Genomic DNA, 26,104 nt, shown 5'->3' on the forward strand with positions numbered 1-26,104 from the left:
CCAAGAAGAGTCATCAGTATTACCTATCATGGGTCTGGGGCTCATCTTGGCTTAGCTAGTTGGTTCTTGCTCAAATTCTTACGTGGTTGCAGTTAGATGGTTGCCAGGGCCATGAGCCAGAGCACCTGCGTGTGACTTCTCGGTAAGACTTGAGTTTCCTTACAGCAAGTGGCTGGTTTCAGAGGGCAAGTGGATGAAAGGAAAAGGGCAAAAGCCTAAGTGGCAACTGTATTAGCCTTTTTATCCTAGCCTTGGACGTCATGTAGCATCACTTCTGTTATATTTTGTTTTTAAGAAGCGTGTCACCAAGACCAGCTCTTATTCCAATGACGGGGAAGAGGATTTCACCTCTTGAGGGGAGAAGTGTAAAAGAATTTGTGGAAAATGTTATACCTACCACAACCTCATTCTACAAAATAGTGGCATCTTGTTGGTTAGGGATTAAGTTCTAAAGTCAGTGTAAGTAGAAGGTATCATGATGGGGAGACCATTATACATTCTCTGTCCGGCACGGTGAGGATTTTCTATAGGTTCAAGAAAAAGTCACTGTTTCTTCAACTGAATATCAAATAAGATATATTTGGCTTGTGTTCAGTGCCTTTCTTGTGTGGAAAATATATTTAAGTACTAGAGTAGCATTCAGCAAGGTGCAATTACCAGACTTTGAGAGGCTCTGTGGAAAAGAAAATTGACATCACTATCAAACTAGTTACAAGACCTACATTTATTGAGTAAAGAAGGAAGGTAGGCAGAATTACTTGCATTATTACTTTTATTTAATTTTGATTTAATTAATTAATTTATTTGAGACGATGTCTTGCTCCGTTGCCCAGGCTGGAGTGCAGTGGCCCGATCTTGGCTCACTGCAACCTCCACCTCCTGGGTTCAAGCAATTCTCCTATCTCAGTCTCCCGAGTAGCTGGGACTACAAGCGCCTGCCACTATGCCCTGCTAATTTTTCTATTTTTAGTAGAGACAGGGTTCCCTGTGTTGGTCAGGCTGGTCTCAAAACTCCAGACCTCAGGTGATCCACCTGCCTCGGCCTCCCAAAGTGCTGGGATTACAGGCGTGAGCCACTGCGCCTGGCCTATTGCTTTTATTTTTAAATTTGGAGAAATTATGTAGCTCAATTCATAAATAAGTAGATGAACGAAGCAACTACTTTGTTTTCCCAAATCTTTGTTTCAAATAAGAAGGGAAATATCGTGATTGAGAGGTCTCTTCCCTTCTTTTAGTAAAAATAATGCAATACCGCGTTTAAGGGCATATAAGTGAATGAGAGTTAGTATTGACCTTATGCTACTGTGATATATGTCAATTAAAAAAATGCTAATGTGTCAATTTCGGGAGGATAAAGCAAAAAGAAAAAAATGCTAATGTGAGAACAAGCATGCCAGCAAGCCATGGTCACCCCACACCCAATAAAACAGGTAAACAGGAAAACACAAAAAGTACCTGTGAGTATGAATAGTATATATAAAATATTTTCAAAGAAACAAGTTACTCTTATGTATCTTCAATAGAAAGGAAAAACTATTATTTATTCAGCTTATGTATAATTATGTTTTCTGTTGCTGATTCAGTTACTTTTGGGAAAGGCAGTACAAGTAAAGCCACTCAATATGGCTTTGTGTTGGACATTCGTAGTTTCTTAGAACAGCTAACGAAAATGTAGCTTTTATGCCCTTTGTTTTTTAACATAAAGAATCTGAGATTGAAGAGGTAGTGTGTTCAGGATTACAGAATGATAAATGGTGGAATCTAGACTCAAATGTAAAGCAGTATTATTTCCAAAGCCAGCTACTTTTGTGTTCAGCTATATTGTTTTTGAATTTTCAGTGATTTATTGGTAGGCTTTTTGTTATCTGGGAATTCCTTCTATTAAAATTATATTGTCAAGTGTTGAAATATGCAGGTTTTAACTAGTTGCATTGACACAGCTTGATTTTGTGTCACTCTAAAACTCACCCCCTGCTCCCCCAGGGAGCAAAAACAAATAAAAACCACATATAAACATAGCTTTCTAGGAACAGTAGTTTCAGATACTGCTTCCTAAATTGTTCAAATATCTTAGCTTTTCAGTTCTGTTTGTTCCAAGGTGGTCATATATTGTTATTTTTCAATAATCAGATTTAGTTGTTTTGCCATTTTTGTTTAGGGAATTACTATTAATTGTTTTTTAATATTAAGCATGATAAACTTCAGATGTTTCTCTTTTTAAAGACCTGGTTTTCGTATATTGAGTGGTTTCACTTTTGTTACCTTGCCCCAAAGTAATTGAATCAGCAACAGAAGAAAGCATGACATTTTAATTGTCTACGTCAAATTACATAATCTAGTGAAGTATGAAGACTACACTGTTAAATTATTAATGACTTTTGTTTATTAAACCAAGCAGTGAAAGAGATGGTATAGGGACATTCCCCTCATATTTTATAAGTCATACTACTGGCTAAATAGTATCAGGATTGTTTTTAGCTCTGCATTGCTAACTGAGTGATCTGTCTAAAACTTAAATTAGACTATGTCCCTCCTTTGCTTTTAAGTCTTAAAAACTGCTGCTTACCAGTCAAAGTCTATATTACTTAGTATGGTATTTAAAGCTTTTAAGTTCTAGCCCCCTGCTGACTACCCTAACGTCATTCCTATATATTTCAAAGCCTATCCTACCGAAGTTTGTCTGCTGGCAACACTAACTACTATTTTTCTGTATGTAGAGAGATTCTACACTTTGGTTTATATATTCTATTCTGTCCTATTTGACTGTTTTCCCTTACCACCAGACTATTTGGTCTCCTTTTTCCCCACATTTGTAACTTTTTATATTCTTTTTAAGACGTGCTCTTGCTCTTTTGCTCAGAGTTGAGTGCAGTCGTGAATCATAGCTCATCGTGGCCTTGAACTCCTGGGCTCAAGCAATCTTCCTGCCTCAGCCTCCCAAGTGTAGCTGGGGCTACAGACGTACACCAGCATGCCTGGCTAATTTTATTTTTATTTTTATTTTTAGAGACAGGGTGTTGTTGTGTTGCCCAGGCTGGTCTTAAACTCCTGGCCTCAACTCCTGCCTCAGCTGGGATTACAGGTGTGAGCCACTGGGCTGGGTGGCTATCATGTTTTATCTAAAATTAGAAACTCCTTGAGGCAGGGACCATTTATCTTTGTATCTTTAGTGTTCAGCACCTAGTAGTAACTCAGCAAATGTTTGTTTTCTTTCTGACATATTTGTCATATTTGTATTTGTTGTATTTAGCATCAGAAAGCCAAATATGGTCATTCAACGTTAATTTGACTGATTCCTTTTGTTATTTTAGTCCAGAATTGCTACCAAAGTGTTTAGGTTTGACCTTTTTGTGCCCAGGAAGTCTAGTCGTTTTGATGATAAATCTAAATTGGTTGAGGTGTAATGAAAAAGACAACCAGGTGTCTAGAAGTGACTGTGACAATTGCAGATTTATCTTGTTTGTGCATGCTGGTTTTTTTTTTTTTCAGTGTTCAAAGCCTGTATTGCATCAGGTTTTCAGGTTTAGATTTCCTAAATTTGGAACACAAAGTTCCCTTTTTAGAAGAATAGGTATTGAGCCCTTGAGCGTGGGTAGAAAGATAGAGACAGAGTGATTTGCAAAATAATGGAGGATCATATTTATATATGAATTTTCACTTATTTGAACTTTCAGATATCAGCTCAAAAGCTTTGGTATAAGTAAAGTATATTAATGAGACTCCTTGGATGAAAGTAACCAAAACCAGTAAAAATAAGGTAATAAGGATGTAATAGTTTCTTATGGACACTCAACAGCTAGAATGCAGTTAGTCTCAGAAAAGAATTAGAACAAATAACTGGAAGGCCATCAGGAGTCCAAAACCATCACTCTTTTATATTTTATATTTTATTTTTCTCTCTTCAGATGAGCATTCTCTTTCTATGTCCATATGGTAGAAGGCGGCAGCTCCATAGATTATGGCTTCAGATGTTACAGTTCCGCTAAATGCAGGGACAGACTTGCTATCTTTCAGTCCCACTTACATATCCTGGGGAGAGAGCAAATGATTGACTGGCTTGAGTCAGGTGCCCGTTCCCTTTCCAATCTGCTCCATCTAGGAGGGCAGTGTTACCTGGTACCAAAATAGATGTTAGAGGGCCACCCCTTTCAAAAGGGAGAATAGCTCTCACAACAGGGCTTCTATGTTGTGCAGGTTGCTTATTCCACATGCTGCTTGCCAAGCTGTATGCCTATAAGGGCTGCAGTTTTAAAATTTGTACAAAGGTGCTTTATGGATTTGTGGTAACCTTTTCTCAGAGAAAGGAGGAGTCATTGTGAATTGGGGGGCTATTCCAAGGGGGTCTGCTATGTCATTTTTGGGGGATATTTATTGTCCATCTTAGTATTGCCAGACTCTTAGCATTGAAATATTAGATTGTCTCTCACCCTTGGGCCATGGAGTTTTATTGCAGCAAAAACAAAAATCCATATGTATATAAGTGTTTTCTCAATAGGTATATTGACAGTGGACTTACTATGATGTGGAGCTTTGACATTTGTGGACCTGCTGCGGTGTCCTTACACTCATTGAGAACCATTGATGTTACGCAAATGCTATTAAACTTTGCATCTAAGACTTCTTATTTGTCCTGTGACCTTTGATTATATTTCAACATGCATAAAGTACTTTAGAGAGATGGGGAGTGCCATGTATGTGAATGAACTTGGCACTAAGCACCCCATAGTTTCTACAGAAAAATTTAAAGAATATTTGTTACTTAAAATTAAGTACTTTCAAAATAATGTTTGGTTAAGTAGAAGCTTAAATTTTTGTTTTTCTTCTTTTCCTCTCCATATCTGTTATACTATTTCACTTACAAAATAAATCTTCAGCCTTAAGGGATGTTTGGGATAGTTTTACAGGATTATGGATTTTATTCCTAAAATAGATCTGAATGCTACAAAAAGTGAAACTTTTTAAAGATAAGATTGTCATCAAGTGGTGGTATTTTAAAGCTTTACTTATAAGCGGTAATAATTAACCTTTGAAAATCCTGCTGTAATAAGGTGTTGAGAGTGATCTAGCTTTCTTTGGAAGGTTTTTGGTGTTCCTAATCATTCCCAGCCTAAATTAACCCCAAGGAAAATGAGAACTTCAACCTGACCTCTCATTGTTTTGCCAATTCCTACGTTTTTTTCGGTTTCCTTTTGGTTCTTTTATTTCTGTTCCTTCTGTTCAGTTTAGGGGAAAGAATAAACTTATAAAGAAATTCACCTTAAGAAATTAGGGCCTTGTCACATATACACCATGGAATACTATGCAGCCATAAAAAAGGATGAATTCATGTCCTTTCTAGGAACATGGATGAAGCTGGAAACCAACATTCTCAGCAAACTACCCCAAGAACAAAAAACCAAACACCACATGTCATAGGTGGGAATTGAACAGTGAGAACACTTGGACACAGGAAGGGGAACATCACACACTGGGGCCTGTTGTGGGGTGGGGGGAGCGGGGAGGGAAAGCATTAGGAGATATACCCAATGTAAATGACGAGTTAATGGGTGCAGCACACCAACATGGCACATGTATACGTATGTAACAAACTTGCACGTTGGGCACATGTACCCTAGAACTTAAAGTATAATAAAAATAAAATAATAAAATAAATTAAAAAAAAGAAATTAGGGCCTTGTCTCTTCCAGATTAATTTGCATTTTAATAGAGGATGTATGAAGAGGGACCGGAAGAAATAACTAATGGTGGAATTTCATGCACTCTGGCACTCACATCTAGGATTCTCAAATCAGGTCATGCTTTTCAACAGGTCTGGTTCAGTTTCTAGGGCAGTAGACACACTGCATAAAAACATTTTATTTATAGTCACTTTCATTTAAAATACCACTTAAAGAACCGAAGAAGTAATTAGTGTCTTGAATTGGGTAGGTGGAATGAGGAGTCAGTAGTAAGGCAAAAGGCCTCACCTGAACAAAGGGTTTGATTCAGTAGTAAAGTTGTATAAAGGCAAATTGGGAATAGATTAAGGAGGTTTGGGGATTAAGAAATGTTTTTTAGGTTTTTAAAGGGGAAAGGGAGATAGTAAAATAAATGATTTTAAGGAAAAAAATTAGGTGCTGACTAAATAGAATTAGGGAATCAGTTTAGAATCTATTGTGCTAATACATAAAAGTGGGCTGAGGCCAGGCGCTGTGACTCATGCTTGTAATTCCAGCACTTTGGGAGGCTGAGGCTGGGGGATTGCTTGAGGCCAGGAGTTTGAGACCAGCCTGGGCAACATAGCGAAACTCCATCTCTACAAAATAAAAACTAAAAAAATAACCCTGATGTGGTGGTGCACACATGTAGTCCCAGCTACTTGAGAGTACCCTTGGGCCATGGAGTTTTATTGCAGCAAAAACAAAAATCCATATGTATATAAGTGTTTTCTCAATAGGTATATTGACAGTGGACTTATTATGATGTGGAGCTTTGACATTTGTGGACCTGCTGCGGTGTCCTTACACTCATTGAGAACCATTGATGTTATGCAAATGCTATTAAACTTTGCGTCTAAGACTTCTTATTTGTCCTGTGACCTTTGATTATTAGAAAGCAAGCATAGGTTGGTAGTGAGGCAGAGGTAATGCCTATAGAGGCAGTGCTGCTCCTGTATCATACTGGATGGATAAAAGCTCACGTCTCATCCTATCTGGAGAGAATTTTCAGAGACCATCTATATGCTTCTTGGGAGGTTTAAGTAGATTGATACCCTGTTATCTTTAGGGATGACATTGATAGTTACTACTCCTTATATTGGCTTTTCTTCCATCCCCATCTTAACTCTTCCTGCTCCTGTAGGTCATTCTCTAGACAGACTGCTTTTACTCAGGTTCTTACCTCAGCCATTGCTTTTGGGAGAACCCAAACTAAGACAGCAGTCATTAGAGTACTTAGTATTTAAAAGGTAGATAAGAGTTCGGGAATTGAAACTGGATGATCACCAAAGGTGTGAGTATATATAGAAAAGAAAGCCAAGATATATGTTCTTTGTATCATTAGGAATGTGTTAAGAGGTTGGCATAAAGAGGAGCAACTAGCAAAGGAAACTGAGGTTTGACCAGTGGTATAGGAAGAAAACTAGGAGGATGTGTGGTGTGATGGAAGCTAAATGAAGAAATCTCGTAAAGTAAGGGGAAGCGAAGCTACTAAGAAAGCAAGGGGGAGAAGTGAATTTAGATTGTCTATTGAATTTATTTTATTTAGTTATTTATATTTGAGGTGGAGTCTCGCTCTGTTGACCTGGATTGCAGTGGTGTGATCTTGGCTCACTGCAACCTTTGCCTCCTGGGTTCAAGCAATTCCCCTGCCTCAGCCTCTCGAATAGCTGGGATTACAGGCATGTGCCACGATGCCCAGCTGATTTTTGTATTATTGGTAGAGACAGGATTTCACTATGTTGGCCAGGCTGGTCTCAAATTCCTGACCTCAAGTGATCTGCCTGCCTCGGCCTCCCAAAGTGCTGGGATTACATGCGTGAGCCACCACATCCAGCCATATTTTTTAATTTTTGCAATGGAGTCTCACTCTGTCACCCAGGCTGTAGTACAGTGGCGCAATCTCGGCTCACTGTAACCTCCGCCTCCCAGGTTCAAGCGATTGTCTTGCCTCAGCCTCCTGAATAGCTGGAATTATGGGTGCCCGGCATCACGCCTGGCTAATTTTTGCATTTTTAGTAGAAACGGGCTTTCACCATGTTGGCCAGGCTGGTTGTGAACTCTTGGCTTCAAGTGATCCACCTGCTTTGGTCTCCCACAGTGCTGGGATTACAGGTGTGGGCCACTGCGCCCGGCTAGATTGTCTATTGAATTTAGATGTTTTAAGAACTGTTTTTCTTGAAATGATGGGGACAAAAGTGTGATTGGAGTGGATTTAGGAACACTTGATAGAATAATTGAAGTCAGTGCATGTGGACAACTTGTTTGAGGAATTTTTCTGTAAAAGGCAGCAGAGTAATGGGTTGGTAGCTGTAGAGAGAGATGTGGTTTCAGGAGAGATTCTTTTTTAAGATGAGAGACAAAATATACCTGCTTGGTATAGCATATTGCTGTGTGTGGTCACAATCAGTTTAGAGTATTTTAGCCTGTTTCTCTTTGTAAGGATAGACTTAATATTCCCCATCATAATTAGGGTTCTTTCTAGTTAATTTGACTGCCTTTTTCTGTTTCCATTTAGGGCTCCCTAAGTCATGCATAATGAATTCATGGAGGAAAAGAAGTTGTTACAAGTTACTAGGAGAAACAAAGGTGATTGGGAAGTACTCTGGCATAGACATAAACATGAGGAAGTGAACTGGTGGAATACCTGTGGGGAAATTAATCCTGCTACAGGATCGTATCTTATGGGGAAGAGTTTAGAATCCAGTCAAGACTGTATGAGAGGCTGGGCACAGTGGCTTACACCTATAATCCCAGCACTTTGGGAAGCTGAGGTGCTTGGATCACTTGAGGCCAGGAGTTTGAGACCATCTGGCGAACATGGTGAAGCCCCCATCTCCATTAAAAATACAGAAATTAACTATATGTAGTGGCATACACTTTAATCCCAGCTACTGTGGAGGCTGAAGCATGATAATTGCTTGAACCCGGGAGGCAGAGGTTGCAGTGAGCTGAGATCGCACCACTGTACTCCAGCCTGGGTGACAGAATGAGACTGTCTCACCCCAAAAAAAGAAAGATTATATGAGAAAGCTATTTCTTTTCTTTTTTCTTTTTTTTTTTTTTTATTGATCATTCTTGGGTGTTTCTCGCAGAGGGGGATTTGGCAGGGTCACAGGACAATAGTGAAGGGAAGGTCAGCAGATAAACAAGTGAACAAAGGTCTCTGGTTTTCCTAGGCAGAGGACCCTGCGGCCTTCCGCAGTGTTTGTGTCCCTGGGTACTTGAGATTAGGGAGTGGTGATGACTCTTACGGAGCATGCTGCCTTCAAGCATCTGTTTAACAAAGCACATCTTGCACCGCCCTTAATCCATTCAACCCTGAGTGGATACAGCACATGTTTCAGAGAGCACAGGGTTGGGGGTAAGGTCACAGATCAACAGGATCCCAAGGCAGAAGAATTTTTCTTAATACAGAACAAAATGAAAAGTCTCCCATGTCTACCTCTTTCTACACAGACACGGCAGCCATCCGATTTCTCAATCTTTTCCCCACCTTTCCCCTCTTTCTATTCCACAAAACCGCCATTGTCATCATGGCCCGTTCTCAATGAGCTGTTGGGTACACCTCGCAGATGGGGTGGTGGCCGGGCAGAGGGGCTCCTCACTTCCCAGTAGGGGCGGCCGGGCAGAGGCGCCCCTCACCTCCCGGACGGGGCGGCTGGCCGGGCGGGGGGCTGACTCCCCCACCTCCCTCCCGGACGGGGCGGCTGGCCGGGCGGGGGGCTGACCCCCCCCCACCTCCCTCCCGGATGGGGCGGCTGGCCGGGCGGGGGGCTGACCCCCCCACCTCCCTCCCGGATGGGGCGGCTGGCCGGGCGGGGGGCTGACCCCCCCACCTCCCTCCCGGACGAGGTGGCTGCCGGGCGGAGATGCTCCTCACTTCCCAGACGGGGTGGCTGCTGGGCGGAGGGGCTCCTCACTTCTCAGACGGGGCGGCTGCCGGGCGGAGGGGCTCCTCACTTCTCGGACGGGGTGGTTGCCAGGCAGAGGGTCTCCTCACTTCTCAGACGGGGCGGCCGGGCAGAGACGCTCCTCACATCCCGGACGGGGCGGCAGGGCAGAGGTGCTCCCCACATCTCAGACGATGGGCGGCCGGGCAGAGACGCTCCTCACTTCCCAGATGTGATGGCGGCTGGGAAGAGGCGCTCCTCACTTCCTAGATGGGATGGTGGCCGGGCAGAGACGCTCCTCACTTTCCAGACTGGGCAGCCAGGCAGAGGGGCTCCTCACTTCCCAGACGATGGGCGGCCAGGCGGAGACGCTCCTCACTTCCCAGACGGGGTGGCGGCCGGGCAGAGGCTGCAATCTCGGCACTTCGGGAGGCCAAGGCAGGCGGCTGGGAGGTGGAGGTTGTAGCGAGCCGAGATCACGCCACTGCACTCCAGCCTGGGCACCATTGAGCACTGAGTGAACGAGACTCCGTCTGCAATCCCGGCACCTCAGGAGGCCGAGGCTGGCGGATCACTCGCGGTTAGGGAGAGGGTTAGGGGAGAGGGAGAGGGAGAGGGAGAGGGAGCGAGAAAGCTATTTCTAGGTTGGAAACAATGTCATGATTTAATTTCCCTGTCATATTAAGCAACAGCTTTGTGAATATACATATTTGTGATCTGTATTGTCACAAATGTCTTTTTGCACACCTTTTATTGACCTATTGTTGAAAATAGCCAAGTCAACTCTATGCTAGGAACAGGTGAAATTTACCCACAGACTTCCAGTCTTTATTTTATGCAGTTTCACCTTTTCCAAGTATTGCTATGAGCCTATATTGAGCTGTTTCTTTCCTCATTCTCTCCCACCTTTTCCTTCAGATTATAGAATGGTCTAATGTCAGTTTTTCATGGTTAATTCTGTCTGAGATGTTTGCATTTGTAGTCATATTTCTAATTGTGGAATGAACGACTTTTTCTGTTGAAAAAAAAATTGAGGCTCTCTTGTTTCCTAAGTTACATCAGTCCTGCTACACTGAGATGGAAGAGGATTCCACAGATTCTTCAACCTTGATCTACACTTTGTAAAATAGGGCTAGCAAAAATTGGTGGACTCAAGGAAGCCTTAGTGATCTGAATTTCAGAAATAACAAGAGTTCTGTGTAGGTGAATGTGGCAGTTTGCCCGCCTGGGGGCAGGTGCCTAGTATCAGTATAGGCGGATAATATGGAGAGACATTGAAGGGATAGGATAAAGGCATTCAAGAATTAGGATCCTTGAATGACAGTGTGGGCTTTAGGGAAGATGTGGGACTCTGACAGAGCCTCAAAGGCAAAAATCAAATAATTAAGCATGATGCTTGGGTCTGTCCCTGTTACATTTTGCCAAGAAGTCGCAGGAGAGGAGAGGATTGAAAGCATAAAGAAATCATGTAGTCCTGCAAATTCAAGGAGTGCTTGGAATTTGGGACCCTGTTGGACTTGAATCTGAAGGTAAACTGAACCAAAAAAGTATTTGGAACTGCAACCCAAGCTTCTACTACCTCAGATTTGACAAGATCGAAAAGGTGACTGTGGGTCGGTGATGGGGAGGTTGGGATTTGGGCTGATTACAGATGAATTGAGTCTAATTAAAGCTGCTGCCAGCTCAAATGGACTCTACTAGAAATCTGAATTTCCAGCCTTTATCCTGGGAGAAGTAGAAGGACCTTGCACTCCCTGGGAAATAACACTTAAAACAATATTATAGTGGGGCGTGGTGGCTTATGCCTGTAATCCTAGCACTTTGAGAGGTGGAGGCAGGAGGATTGCTTTAGCCCAGGAGTTCAAGACCAGCCTGGGCAACATAGTGGGACCCTGTCTCCACAAAAAATAAAAAACTGCTGACTGTGGTGGTGGTGCATGCCTGTAGTCCCAACTATTTGGGAGACTGAGGTTGGGGATTACTTGAACCTGGGAGGTTGAGGCTGCAGTGAGCTGAGGTTGTGCCAGTGCACTTCAGCCTGGGTGACTGAGACCCTGTCTGGAAAAAAACCCGCAAACCAAATGAGTAAAAATTATACTGAATTTCTGACTATTACCTTACAGTGTCTAGAATATTATAAAATATATGAAACATACAAAGACCTGGAAAAGGGTGATTGTATAGGCTTATAGATGACCCAATTATTGGAATTAGGAGAAAAGAACATTAAGGCAATTGGCAGGATAATATATGGGGGATTGGGTATTTTCAGGTGAGTAATGGACATGCCAAAAAACCAAATGCATATTCTGGAACTGGAAAATAGAATATCTTAAATTTTAAAAATTGATCAAATAGCCTTAATAGCAGTTCTATGATAAGAAATAAAGACAGAAGGAAATGGTAAATGTGTGAATAAATATGAAAGTTTATCTTCTAGTTTTTAAATTTATATCGATGACAGTGGATAGCACAAAGACAAAAATAACAATGTATTATCGAATTTATAGTATGTATCAGTAAAATATAAGAGCACAAAAGTTGGAAGTAAATATACACATACTCTTTTATAGTACTTAGGTTATATGTGAAATGGTGTAATATCATTTGAAAATGGGCTATGATGAATGAAGAATGTATATTGTAATTTCTAGAGCAACCAAAAATGTAGGATAGCTAAAAGTCCACAAAAGGAGATAAAATGGAGTAAAAGGAAAACTTTATTAGAAGGTAAGAAAAGAAGAACAAAGAACAAATAGAAAATAAATATGATACTGGGTGTGGTGGCTCACACCTGTAATCCCAGTGCTTTGGGAGGCCAAGGCAGGGGGATCACTTGAGGTCAGGAGTTCGAGACCAGCCTGGCCAACATGGGGAAACCCTGTCTCTACTAAAAATACAAAAATTAGCTGGGTGTGGTGTTGGGTGCGGTGTCGGGCGCCTGTAGTCCAAGCTACCCAGGAGGCTGAGGCAGGAGAATCGGGTGAACCTGGGAGGTGGAGGTTGCAGTGAGCCGAGATCATGCCACTGCACTCCAGCCTGGATAACAAAGCAAGACTCCGTCTCAAAAAAAACAAAAACAAAGCAAAAATAAATAATAATGTGATAGTTTTAAGTTGTCATAGCAATAATTACATAAAATATGAAAGATCTAAGCCCACCATTAAAACAGAAATTGTCAAATTTGATTTCTAAAAGGACCCAACATTATGCTTCCTACAAATGGGTACTTGAAATGTAAAGACATTTGGTTAAAAGTAATCCATGGAAAATATATACCATATTAACACTAATCAAGAGAAAGCTCCTATGACTATCGTGACATCAGGCAAAATACTAAAAGACAAGGATTACTAGCGGGAAAAAAAAAACCTCGTAATGTGAGAAGGATCCATTCACCAAGAAGATATGAGCCCTAAATATCTATTCACTGTATAATGAATCTCCAACATACATGAAATAAATATAAAAGAATAGACAAATTTACAACTATAGTTAAGAGATGCCTATACTTTTCGATAACTTACAGAAAAAGCCATAAATTGGTAAGGCTATAGAAGATTTGAATACAACTGTCAACCAATTTTATCTAATTGACATTTGTAGAACATTATACCCAAGAGAGGCAGTATGTGACATTCATGTACACGTGGAACCTCTCACTAAGAATTACGTGGGGCGTCAAAAGTCTCAACATATTTCAAAGGCTTGAAATGATAGTACTGTTCTGTTGACTGCATTGGAATTACATAGAAATCAGTAACAAAATGAGGTTTGGTAGATTACCAAATATTTTGAAATTAAGGAAGTCAATTTTGAACAACCCATCAGTAAACGAATAAATCAAATGGAAAATTAGAAAGGACATTAAATAAATTCAGAAAAGACAGCATCAAAATTATTAAATGCAGTGCTTAAATTATTAAAGTAGTACTCAGATAATTTATATCTTTAAAGTTTAATAAAGAAACAAGGATTAGAAAGTTTTATTCTAAGGACAGAAAAAGAAATTCAGAATAAGTGAAAGGCAGAAAATATAGAGAAGAAAGCAGAAATCAATGAAACAGAAAGCATACTCTAAGAAAATGAACAAAATATAACATTTCCTCTTTGAAAAGATCAATACAATTGATAGGCCTCTAGCAAGATTGACTGAGGGGAATAAAAAAATCCGCAGATTACTGGTATAAAAAATGAGGGAGGTGCTTATGGTACAGATTCTATAGCTGTTAACAAGGATAAAAAGGAAATAACTATTTAAAAATTTTGTTTTAGTTATTTTTAAACAACAAAAAAAAAACAATTGTTTTAGGTATCTGTTTCTGTGTTAAGAATCTCTCCACCACTTGGCTTAAAACGATAGCAGTTGACTATTTCTCTGAATTATGTGAATCAGCATGTGGTCTTTTATCTCAGGCTTCTTTGTGGCATTGTATTCTCAGGGCAACATTCAAAGAAGGTAAAGGTGGACTTTGCAAATCATGAGGCATAGGGACTGTCACTTGCCCAACAAAACTTATGCTGCATTGAGTTGATGTAAACAAGTCACAAGGCCTGCCCAAATTCATGGGGTTGGGGAAATAGATTCTATGGCATGATTTTAGGTGGTGTAAAACATTCTGGCCATGTTTTTCAGTCTACAGTGGTTAAGTCAGAAATAGTGAAATCTGAGATTTTACCCTATTTACAAGCTAAAAAGTTAAGCCTGCCAGAAAACAATACCTTTAGATTAGAGACAAAGAGAGATTATTACCACAAAAGCAGTGACTAGAGCAATGTCTTGTGTCAGTTCTTTGAGCCTTAATCTTCACAGGGTGACATACTGAAAGTCCTGTAGTACCTGCTCATGCAGTAGTGTACGTTACAGGAGAAGAACCCCAAATTGGAAAACCTGATCTTATTTAGGACTACTGGTAACCTGTCCATCCTCTCCTCTGGAGTATAAGCAAATCTTTTCTGGGGAGGGGAAGGTGGACTCTCTGAATCTTGCTTAGTGTTATTATCCTAGAATGTCTTTATACAAACACCTTATGTAAATGACATTGCTCAGAGGACCGAGAACATGCAGGAATGTGAAATGTTTATGGAGAATTGTCTTTCAACCCAGTGTACTCTCGATCACAGTAATTTGCCTTCCTCTCATATACAAAATTTGATCACTCTTTTCCAAAAGTCTTATTCCATTAGAGTATGAGGCTTGATGATCTGTCTCATCAAAATAAGATCTAGATACAGATAAGGATCCTCAAAGCCATTTGTAATTAGAAAAATGCAAAATAAAAACCAGATACTGCAATTACATAGGCCAAAATTAAGAAAACAGTACCAAGTGTTGGTGAGAATGTAATTGGAATTCTATTTGCTGGGAGTGTTAAATAATAAAACCACTTTGTAAGACAATAGTTTTGAGTAGAATTAAATTACTTATAGACTATGACTCAGCAGTTTCATTCCCATATATTTACCTATGAGAACAGAAGCATGTGTTCTTATAACGCTTGTACACAAATGTACTTTTATTCAGGACAGGCTGTCTTGGTCAGGATGTTGACTGGGAAGGGGCAAGTGTGAACCTTGTAGGGTGATGGAAATGTTCCATGTCTTGATTCCTGCTGGTTATATGATTGTATTTCTCTACCATCTATACTCTTAGAATGTGTTCATTATGTAAATTGTATCTAAAAATATAAAAATGGAAAATTTTGCAAATGTAAGGATTCCTTGGTAACTTCAGTGTATATGTCTACCACTTAATTGCACAGTAATACATTTTTAGACATGTTTAGGCTAACTATAGTTTGATATAAAATTTTAACACTGTTCATATTGAAATAATACCCAGCTTTCTTCTTGATCAGAATTAGGCTGATGGGACCAGACATTGATGTTGATCTTCTAGTTATAAGTATGATCTAGCCATCAACATCTTTTCCTTATTTCTTGTATATGTTGTAGGCATATCACATTTTATATATATTTAGTTTTTGACTGTTGTCCTTATAAATGCTCTTACACAGCGTTTATAATTTTTTCATTACTTAAGTTCAAAAACTTTTTTTTTACTCTTCTTACCTTCCTATCTTTATTCTTTTTCATATTATTATTTTAATTGTTTACTATTTATGTACTTATCAGTAAGGGGTTAATAATGTTCATAAAATGACTTGGAACTAAGCACAAATATACCAAATACAGATTAGCAACATTGTGATAACTGTGATTAAACTAAATGATCTTACACAACCACTAAATACCATCTAATAGGTGTGGGCATGCCTGAGGAGGCTTTGTTTTACATTTTTACAAAATGAAATATTGCACCACATAAGATTGCTCTTAAATCCAGCCGAGTATACATGTGTGCCTCCAGGCGACCCCAGAGTGCAGCCTTGCCATGGCCTCCAAAGCTTCTCCGCATCTCAGGGCACCCCCCCCAACTGTCTGTGGATCTGGAGACCTGGCATCTATGAGGATGACAAGGGGAGGACCTGGGTGACTGTGGTTGTGCGCCTCAGTCCCCTGCACAGAGAAAGGGCCAGGTGCTCAAGCTCCCAGGGCAGCACATATGAACCTAGCATCACAGTGCACATGTGGTAGATGCCAGTGCACACCCGGGAACCACTGTCCCCCAGCCAGCTGCCCTTCTCCCACCTGCTTCCCGTGTGGCAGCTCTACCCCAAGAGGAGGTATCAAGCAGCAAATTCCAGTTTCTGGGAAATAGTGGACCAGATCGTCTCCATGGAGCAGCTGGTCCTAACATATTGGCCGGCAAGGAATAACTGACTCCTCTGGCCTCATGTCTCTTCGGGCCCCCTCAGTGAGGATCTTTGTGTACTTGCTATTCCGTTTGCACACCCAGCGTGGCCTCCTTGCAGGCAGGAGGCAGTGGGGCCCCTGCCCACTCAGCTTCTCTCATTTTCTTCACTTATCAGTCTTGTCCTGTTCCACTCAGATCTACACTGAGGGCAGTTGGCCTGGATGGGCTTCACTAGGGGCCCCGTCTGTGCACTGGGCCCGTTTCCCCTGCTGGCTGCAAGCCATGGGTTCTTTTTCTCCTCTCTGCCCCTCATGCTGACCTTCTAGATGCCACTCCCAAATCCCCTTCACTCCATACCCACCAGGCTTCATGCCCACCCAGGCCTCTGGCACCCTCAGTGCAGCCCATGATTGGGAACTCACCATCAGCAGTCAGTGGCTCGGTTTAAGAGAGGGCCGCAGAGGGAACTGGGTCTGGATGTGGACTTGGATGCCCTGTGGGTATCAGTTCTGCTGACACTTTGGCCTGAAATAGATAAAGTGCTGAGCAAGCAGTGTATGCTGGAGCCTCAGTAAGTCCATCTGCACAGTGGGGAGCGTGGAGGGATGGGTTTGGCTTATGCTTCTGCTTGTTCAGTCTTTCAGCTCACAGCAGGATGCTAATCCATGAAGGTGACCTCGCAGTACTGGTTAATTAAGCTTTATTGCTCACTGAAAAAGAAAAAAAATCTAGCCAGGTATGTCTTGTGATCTCTTTAGGTAAATAGAAGATGTGCTGTATTTAAAAAAAAAAAAACCTTTATATTGATTTTACTTTTCAATTTTTATAGTAATTCTCAAACTGAGACTTTTGTCAAAACAATCTCAAGTAGTGGATGGGGAAGGCTAAATAATAGTGGCTATGGTATAGATGAAATAAGATTGACCATGCATTGATTATTGTTGAAACTGTGTTGGAAAAAGGAATCACATGACATTTTTTTGTTGTTGGCTTGAGACGGAGTCTCGGTCTGTTGCCCAGGCTGGAGTGCAGTGGCGCAATCTTGGCTCACTCCAGCCTGTGCCTCCCAGGTTCAAGCAATTCTCTCGCCTCAGCCTCTTGAGTACTGGGATTACAGGTGCGCACCACCATGCCCAGTTAATTTTTGTATTTTTAGTAGAGATGGGGTTTCACCATGTTGGCCAGGCGGTCTTAATCTCCTGACCTTGTGATCCACCTACTTCAGCTTCCCAAAGTGCTGGGATTACAGGCGTGAGCCACCACGCCCGGCCCGACATTTTGTTTAAGACAAAGAATTTTGAATTTTATACTGTACCTTTTACTAAATCAGAATCTCTAGGGAGAGGGTATAGTATCTGTATTTTTCAAAAATAACGAGTGAATATTAACTAGCTAGTTGCAATTACAGCCAAGATTTGTTTTTCTTCCTCATGAGCAGCTTTTTAAATTGGTGGCAAAGTTTACTAGGGCAGTCTATGAATGGTTGCCCAAATCCTACTTACGAAAATTATCAATGAGCTCCTCTCTTTCTCTACTAGATTGTTTCTATCTATCTGTCTACAAATCTGCTGTTGTATCTCTTCATTCATATTCGGGTCCGGCAACTACTTGATTTTTCTAATGTTTTATATAGCAAAACTACCTGAGTTGTCGATTCTAGTTCTTCTGTTCTTTCTTGAATCCCTTCCAAATAGTGTTTTGCCCCACCAACCAGAGGTGGTTTTGTCAAGATAATCAATGACTTTCACATTAATACACAGTGGCCATTCTAAGTCCTTATTAACAGAGTTGATAACATCTTCCTCCTTGAAACTTTTTTTTTTTCCGCCTGGCGTTTAGAATATCACACTTTTTCTCTTGGAGTGGGGTGTTTTCTTTTGCCTCACTTGGCTGCTTCTCTTCAGTGTCCTTTGCTGGTCATCTATAATGTTTTGGGGCTCAGCCATTGAACTTGTTCTCTTTTTCTGTCTGCCCTCCTGCCCTTGATGATCTCATCTTATTTCATTGCTTTAAATACCATCTATAAGCAGATGACTTTCAGATTTATATCCACAGCTTGGATCTCTTCCCACATCTCTGAATGCCTATATCCAGCTGCTTACTCAGTGTCCTACTCAGATATCTTTCAAGTATTTCAAAGTAAAGTTTTTGAATACAAACATCTTTCTTCTCTCTGCCTTGCTCCTACCATGGTCTTACTCCATTTCAGTTTAGTGGCAGCTCCGTTCCACCAGACTGTCATGTCTGTGGGAGTGTGTATGAGTGACAGAAGATTTGGTGGCCAGCTTTGCTTGCTGTACACACAGCTTTGTTGTTGTTGTTTTTTGTGGCATGCAGTATATGTAGAATTCTTAGAGAACGTTAAACACACACGTTAAACACGTTAGTCCTATACCATTTGGCATAGCGACAAATAGTTTGATGTATTTAGGGCAATTCTGAAATTCTGAAACACATAAATGGATATTACTCTCAGTTTTTAAGAAAAAGATGATTTATGATGTATGTACTTTTTATTAAGAGTATTATTTTGTGTTTTAGGCTGTCTCACTTTGGAATGTGTTGGCTGCAAGTAAAGAAAACATAGCAATAGTTTAAGCAAATAAGGGAATTAGTTTTCCCACATACCAAGAAATCCAGAAATAGAGAATAGTTAGCATTAATTCAGCTATAATTAATAAAGCAAATAAGGGAATTAGTTTTCCCACATACCAAGAAATCCAGAAATAGAGAATAGTTAGCATTAATTCAGCATTAATTGCTTAGCAATGCTGTTTGAAACCCCAGCTTGTTTTGTTTTTTTCCTCTGTCAGTCTTATTTATTGGCTGGTTATTAATCCTCATCCTTGTTGACTTACGGTAATAGGATGGTTGTTGCAGCACTAGATACTGTGTACACATACGAGGCTAGAAAAATGGGAGAGTGGTGGTGTCAGATGTATTTGCTCCCTTTTATCAGGAAAGCAAATGTTTTTCCAGAATTAACCGGCACTTCACCCCCAAAGCAGACTTCAGAATATAAGTCTTTGATTTTCACTGTGTTACCCATTTCTTGTTTACCCCTCCAGGCATGGAAAGCTCAAAAGTGGTAATTGAGCTGGGCCCCTTACTGCCCTGAATAGTCTAGAGTCTTGAAAGGAAGGCCAGGTCACACCTGTAAACCCAGCACTTTGGGAGGCTGAATTGAGTGGGAGGATTGCTGAGCCAGGAGTTTGAGACCAGCTTGGGCAACATAGTGAGAGACTGTCTACACACACACACACACACACACACACACGAAAAAAGAAAAACAGGTTAGCTGGGTGTGGTGGTGCACGCTTATAGTCCCAGCCACTCAAGAGGCTAAGGCAGGAGAATCCTTTGAGCCCAGGAGGTTGAGGCTGAAGTGAGCCGTGATTGTGCCACTGCATTCCAGCCTGGGTGACAGAGCAAGACCCTGTCTCAAAAAAAAGTCCAGGCGTGGTGGCTCACGCCTGTTAATCCCAGAACTTCGGGAGGCCAAGGTGGTTGGATCACTTGAGGTCAGGAGTTTGAGACCAGCCTGGCCAATATGGCAAAACCCCGTCTCTCTAAAGAGTTAGCCAGGTGTTGTGGTGCACACCTGTAATCCCACCTACTCGGCAGGCTGAGGCAGGAGAATCGCTTGAACCTAGGAAGTGGAGGTTGCAGTGAGCTGAGATTGTACCACTGTACTCCAGCCTGGGCAACAGAGTGATACGTCTCCAAAAAAAAAAAAAAAAATCTTAGAAGGGAAAATAAATCCCATAAACAATTAACAGTGCCTGCCACATAGAACTATGAAAAATTACTAAAATATAATTGGCCATTCGAGTTTATTTGCTTGGAAAGTTATTTCTCAGTAAGTTCAAATTAATGGCATTTTAATGGTAGGTGAAAGAGTATTTATATAATGAGGGCTCTCAAGAGTTTATAAATGTATGAAGACTATCCACTATAAAGATAGCCATTTGGCTGGGTGCAGTGTCTCACGTTTGTAATCCCAGCACTTTGGGAGACTGAGGTGGGAGAATCGCTTAAGGCCAGGAGTTCAAGACCAGCATGGCCAACATAGTGAGACCCTGTCTCTAAAAAAGTTTTTTTAAAATTAGCTGCGTATGGTGGTATACACCTGTAGTCCTAGCTTCTCAGGAGGCTGAGGTGGGAGGATTGATTGTGCCCAGGAGTTTGAGGCCGCAGTCAGTCATGTTTGTGCCATTGGGCTGCAGTCTAGGTGACAGAGTGAGACCCAGTCTCTTAAAAAAAAAAAAAGCTAGTCATTTATTTAGAAGCTGGTAAATATGTGTGTGTGTGTGTGTGCATACACTTGTGTGTACGTTTTTAAGAGGCTAATATTTTGGTTTGACTATTTGGTCTTAACTGTTTTCAGTTTACAGAGGTTAATTTTTGAGAAGTTTAATTTAACTTTTATATAAATTAGGTATTTAAAGAGATGTTCCTTAAAGTCATAAAGATCCGTTTTTATTGTTAATTTTGGTTCTTTTTTTGCTTTCCATAGAATGTTGGCTCAATTAAGAAACATCAGGGAGATAAATTCAACCCAGTGGTAAGTAACTTCAATTTCTTTTGGTAGAAAGTTTTCAGCAGCCAGTTGCAGTGGCACATGCCTCTAATCCCAGCACTTTGGGAGGTCAGTGCAGGAGTTTGAGACCAGCCTGGGTAACATGGCGAAACCCCCATCTCTGTAGAAATTACAAAAATTAGCCAGGCATGGTGGCTGGTGGCATGGTAGTACCCTTGGGAGGCTGAGGTGGGAGGATCGCTTGAGCCTGGGAGATCGAGGCTGCAGTGAGCCAAGATCGCACCACTGCACTCCAGCCTGGGCAACAGAGTGTGACCCTGTTTCCAAAAAAAAAAAAAAAAAAAAAAGCTTATTATTGTGCTCATTTTCTGGGTCGACACTTTCTTCTTCGTTGTGATTAGAAGATTCTTATGTCTACAGTGTTACTTCTGATTTATAAAGTGGCTCTTCCTTATCACATACCTGAAATTCTAATGAGCAGTTCCCATGTTGATCAATTCAGTTCTGATCAGGCTAGGCTTTCTTCCTTTTGGATTATTTCCTTGTGTTATTCTGTAAAGGAGAATCAGTCTTTGGATACTGTTACTCATTTACTTCTCTTTCGTATGTTACTTTCCTCCTCTGCCCTCAAGAATTAAGGTTCTCAGCCTTTCTTATCAGTCAGCAGTTTTTAGTCTATACCACTTCCACTTGCAGGCCTATATAGATTTGGTGTTCGTTTTTATATTGGCACCAGGCCCACTGAATTTGATCTGAGGTCTAAACCGCTGTCTTTGTAGTCTCTATTCACAGAAAGTTTTCCTTTGAGATTTCAACTCTATTTAGCTTCCTAGAGCCCAATCTAATCTTTCTTTTCTGAATTCGTTCTCCTTTCAGAGAAGTTCTGCAATTTCTGTTTGTCTGTCTGCAACATGATTAGCTCTACAGAAAAAAAAATCGGAAATTGTTATATCTCCATGAACAATTACTTGACCCTATAAATTGTCTTATATCTCAAGTGCCCTACATCTTTATATGTTATCTTTATATGTTTGGACCCAGTATGGTCCAGTGGCCATTAAGTGTTTACATGTGTGACTAATAAGCTGAATTTTTAATTTTATTTGATTTAGCTTTTAATACTAAGTGTAAATAGCCACATGTGTCTAGTGGCTACCATACTGGACATAGCAGATAGAATTCTTTCCCATTCTTAAGTGTCCTCCTAACTCAGTATCAGTTGTATTCTTAAAATGTCTAGAACAAGAAATTTTGTATTCATTTTTGGAATTTTTAAAATGATCTCATAAGCACATAGGTAAAATCTAAATTCTCTTCTGGCGATTAAAATCTTATTAGATGAACTGTTTATTCTTACTGATAAAATATGCCTTAATATAAACAAAGATTGTTACTAAGTAGTAAACTTTTCTGGATATTTATTTGTTGACAGAGATTTTAGATGGAAACATTTAATGTTTGACATCTGAGTTTCTTTTTTTAAATTCTGAAGGAGGAGTATGTAGTGAAGATTTACTGATATTTGAATTGTTTTAAGAACCTTCCTTCAAGTATGCATTATTATATATTGAGAAGCAGTATAGAAGAGCACGGACTCAGTTTCTTCATGGAAAAATGCAGATAACAGCACATATCTTAGAAAGTTGTAGTGACGATGGAATGAGAGTCTGCATATAGTTTATCTAAAGAACTTAGCACAGTGCCTGGTATAGAGTGACTGAGTAAGTAGGCCGAGTGCAGTGGCTCACGCCTGTAATCCCAGCACTTTGGGAGGCCAAGACAGGCGGATCATGAGGTCAGGAGATGGAGACCATCCTGGCTAACATGGTGAAACCCTGTCTCTACTAAAAATACAAAAAAAATTAGCTGGGCATGGTGGCGGGCAGCTACTCGGGAGGCTGAGGCAGGAGAATGGCGTGAACCCGGGCAGCGGAGCTTGCAGTGAGCTGAGATCGTGCCACTGCACTCCAGCCTGGGTGACAGAGCAAGACTCCATCTCAAAAAAAAATTGTAGTGATGATGAAATGAGAGTCTGCATGTAGTTTATCTAAAGAACTTAGCACAGTGCCTGGTATAGAGTGATTGAGTAAGTATAGTAAAAAAAAAATTTTTTTTTTTTTGAGACGGAGTCTCGCTGTGTTGCTCAGGCTGGAGTGCAGTGGCACAATCACGGCTCACTGCAGCCTCTGCCTCCCGGGTTCAAGCAGTTATCCTGCCTCAGCCTCCCAAGTACCTGGGATTACAGGCACCCGCCACCACGCCTGGCTAATTTTTTTGTATAAAGATGGGGTTTCACCATGTTGGCCAGGCTGGTTTCGAACTCCTGACCTCTGGTGATCTGCCTGCCTTGGTCTCCCAAAGTGCTAGGATTACCGGTCTGAGCTACTGCGCCCAGCCTAGAATAATCACTTTTTTAAAAAGATTGCAAGGGAAATACATATCTTATTCTTTGTCACTTTTAAAATATCATATAATATGAAGTAGAAGAATTAGAAGCAGTGCCTTGCAGATCCCTGTTACAGCTTGAGGCAAAAGGAAAAATCACTAATACCAGATCCTGTCTGTATTTTAACATTGGACATTTTGTTTATACATGGATTCTTTTTCAGTAATCTGTATTTTTAAAACATTTTATTAAGATATTGTATTTATCTTGATTACTGAATTTTTTGATACCTCCTTATATTTTGTGCCTGAGTCCTTACTAGCCTTAACCTAGTCTTGGTTCTGGTTAGAGGTAATCTAATACTCTAATAGAATCTTCTGACTACAGTAAGAATGGATTGTTTTACACAGAAAGAATTGATAACACTAATTATCATTTTAATTTTATTTATTCCTAAAATTGCTATAAAATTGCCAATGTATTTGTGTGGTGTTTGATTTTTTTGGTTTAATTTTATCTTAGAGTATGCTGCACAATTCAAATTTTTAAAAGTCGATTTTTAAACTTTTATTTCTTCAAGTTAATTGCTTTATTACTTGTGCAAATATAATCTTACTTTGCTAATATAATCTTAGCCTAGTTAGAATTAACCTATGTATATACATTGTGTACTTAATAAAGTTGGCCCTGAGAATGTTCACTAATTCAGAATTGGCCTTTTCCCTCAATTAATTTGAAATCTGTTCTTTATTTAAGCAAGTTTTTGCACCAGTGTGTAACCTTAAACACATTTAAGACATATAAGTTCTTTAGAAAAACTATATGGCCAATATTTAATTGAAACAAAATATACTTGGGGTAGGTGGGAATTTTCATGTGGAAACTTGGACTTTTCATAGGAAGGTTATAGGGTGGTTGATCCCTGATGGCTGGTTAAGAAGACCTGAAAATATCTTCGCATTCCCACTTCCTACTCAAAACTGCACTTAATCATGTCCTTAATGAAGACTCATAGAACTCTTACTCAGAAATTAAGTAAAATTAAATAAAAATCTTCGTCTTATTAGAGTTTTTCTTGTTGAGTACTAAGAAGCAGACTCAAAGCACAGTTTTTTTTGTTTGTTTGTTTGAGTCTCGCTCTGTTGCCCAGGCTGGAATGCAGTGGCGCGATCTCGGCTCACTGCAAGCTCCACCTCCCGGGTTCAAGCCATTCTCCTGCCTCAGCCTCCCGAGTAGCTGGGACTACAGGTGCCCACACCTCGCCCAGCTAATTTTTTGTATTTTTAGGAGAGACGGGGTTTCACTCTGTTAGCCGGGATGGTCTCATCTCCTGACCTCGTGTTCCGCCTGCCTCGGCCTCCCAAAGTGCTGGGATTACAGGTGTGAGCCACTGCGCCCGGCCTCAAAGCACAGTTTTTGAAGAAGCATGTAAATGGCTACTTCATGGATTGCTTTGTGAAGTACTAAAGAGCTTGAGTTTAATTTGAAATCCAGTAGTTATAAATGTGGGTATTAAAGCAATGTTAAATGGGTTCCATTGTGCTTGTATAGTGGCAGGAGAAGTGTTTATCTGTGACATATGAATTGTGATAGATTGGAATGATTTGTTCTGAAAAACCGTTGTAATATGTATGTTTTAAATTTCTTTTTATTCGAATATTGCAGTGTCTAAAAATGACTACAAAACGAAGTTTGTTTGTGCGGTTGGTACCATGTCGCTGTCTACGAGGGGAAGAGGAGACTGTCACTACTCTTGATTATTCTCATTGCAGCTTAGAACAAGTTCCGAAAGAGATTTTTACTTTTGAAAAAACCTTGGAGGAACTCTATTTAGATGCTAATCAGATTGAAGAGCTTCCAAAGGTATGCTAATACTTTCTTTCAAGAATTATCTTTGGTTATTTTTATATCTAGAAATATGATATTCCTAATATTGCTATAAAGTTGCCAATATATTTGTGTGGTTGAATTTTTTGGTTTAATTGTATCGTAGAGTATGCCGTACAATTCAAATTTTTAAAAGTCGATTTTAAAACTTGTATTTCTTCAAGTTAATTGCTTTTATACTTGTGCAGATAACGTAAAATTTTGTATTTAATTTTAGTTGTATTGTAGCCATTAAGGTAAATAATGAGACTAAATAATTTCTGGAGTCAGTAGATTTAACTAGAGCAATAATTGAAATTAATGCTGTCTTTTCCTACTTTTCATAAGACATTAATGTGTATTGTTATAATTGAGGGCAATTGTCCTTTTACCATATCATAATTTTATTGTTAAACAGCTTTTCTTGAGTTCATACAGATATTGTTTTCCTCCATTTACAATTTGTTTGGAAAGGTTTTGGAGGACTTAACATTTCTGAAGTCTAGTAACAACTGAAAGGAGAAAGTTGGTTTGTTGCCATGAAACACCTTCTCAAGTTATCACCTTGTTTTTTTTTCACTAAACTTTTTTCAGTGTACTTTTTCTTCTTAAATCCCAGTCTCTCATTATCCTATTTCAATTTTCCCTCTCATTATCCTATACCAGTTAAATTGCTATATATTTAATTGTTAATTGCTATATATTTAATTGTTGGGATCTTTTGCCACCCAAACAGCAGTGTTTTTGAAACCGTGCGTGGAGACCCATTGGTAGCTCATAAAATCAATTCAGTATGTGTGGGCAGCATTTTGGAAAAAAAACTATAAATTTGGACTGCGAGAATTAGGAAATATAGGACGCTTAAATTAGAATTTTCAAATAAGGAATAATTTGTTAGTGTAAGTGTGTCCCATAAAACTGTGGGATATACTTGTACTAAAAAATTATTTGTTGTTTGTCTGAAAT

General features: G+C 40.0%; 1 protein-coding gene across 18 annotated transcripts in view, besides 2 other annotated features; it reads left to right on the forward strand.

The window, feature by feature from the left end:
- Nucleotides 1-26,104, forward strand: part of ERBIN (erbb2 interacting protein) — a 155,972-nt gene that overhangs the window by 41,198 nt on the left and 88,670 nt on the right. For 11 of the 18 annotated variants that reach the window (XM_047417376.1, XM_047417378.1, XM_047417380.1 and 8 more), the window contains exons 2-4: nucleotides 16,983-17,082; nucleotides 20,863-20,910; nucleotides 24,938-25,135. In XM_047417376.1, the coding sequence (XP_047273332.1) occupies nucleotides 24,947-25,135 (189 nt within the window). In that variant the 5' untranslated portion in view covers nucleotides 16,983-17,082; nucleotides 20,863-20,910; nucleotides 24,938-24,946. The remainder of the gene's footprint in view (nucleotides 1-16,982; nucleotides 17,083-20,862; nucleotides 20,911-24,937; nucleotides 25,136-26,104) is intronic. The other 7 variants (XM_005248554.4, NM_001253699.2, NM_001253697.2 and 4 more) reach the window with 1 other exon arrangement.
- Nucleotides 16,569-17,187: an enhancer, noted in NCBI's record as "H3K27ac-H3K4me1 hESC enhancer chr5:65280169-65280787 (GRCh37/hg19 assembly coordinates)". NCBI's record gives its function as "activates a minimal SCP1, AML or CMV promoter by ChIP-STARR-seq in naive H9 embryonic stem cells {active_cell/tissue: H9 hESC(naive)}" and the evidence as "EXISTENCE:reporter gene assay evidence [ECO:0000049][PMID:30033119]".
- Nucleotides 19,711-19,908: a silencer, noted in NCBI's record as "fragment chr5:65283311-65283508 (GRCh37/hg19 assembly coordinates)". NCBI's record gives its function as "represses an EF-1alpha promoter that drives an FKBP-Casp9 reporter gene in an ReSE screen in HepG2 liver carcinoma cells {active_cell/tissue: HepG2}" and the evidence as "EXISTENCE:reporter gene assay evidence [ECO:0000049][PMID:32094911]".

Source organism: Homo sapiens, chromosome 5 (assembly GCF_000001405.40).
Source record: "Homo sapiens chromosome 5, GRCh38.p14 Primary Assembly".
NCBI lineage: Eukaryota > Metazoa > Chordata > Mammalia > Primates > Hominidae > Homo > Homo sapiens.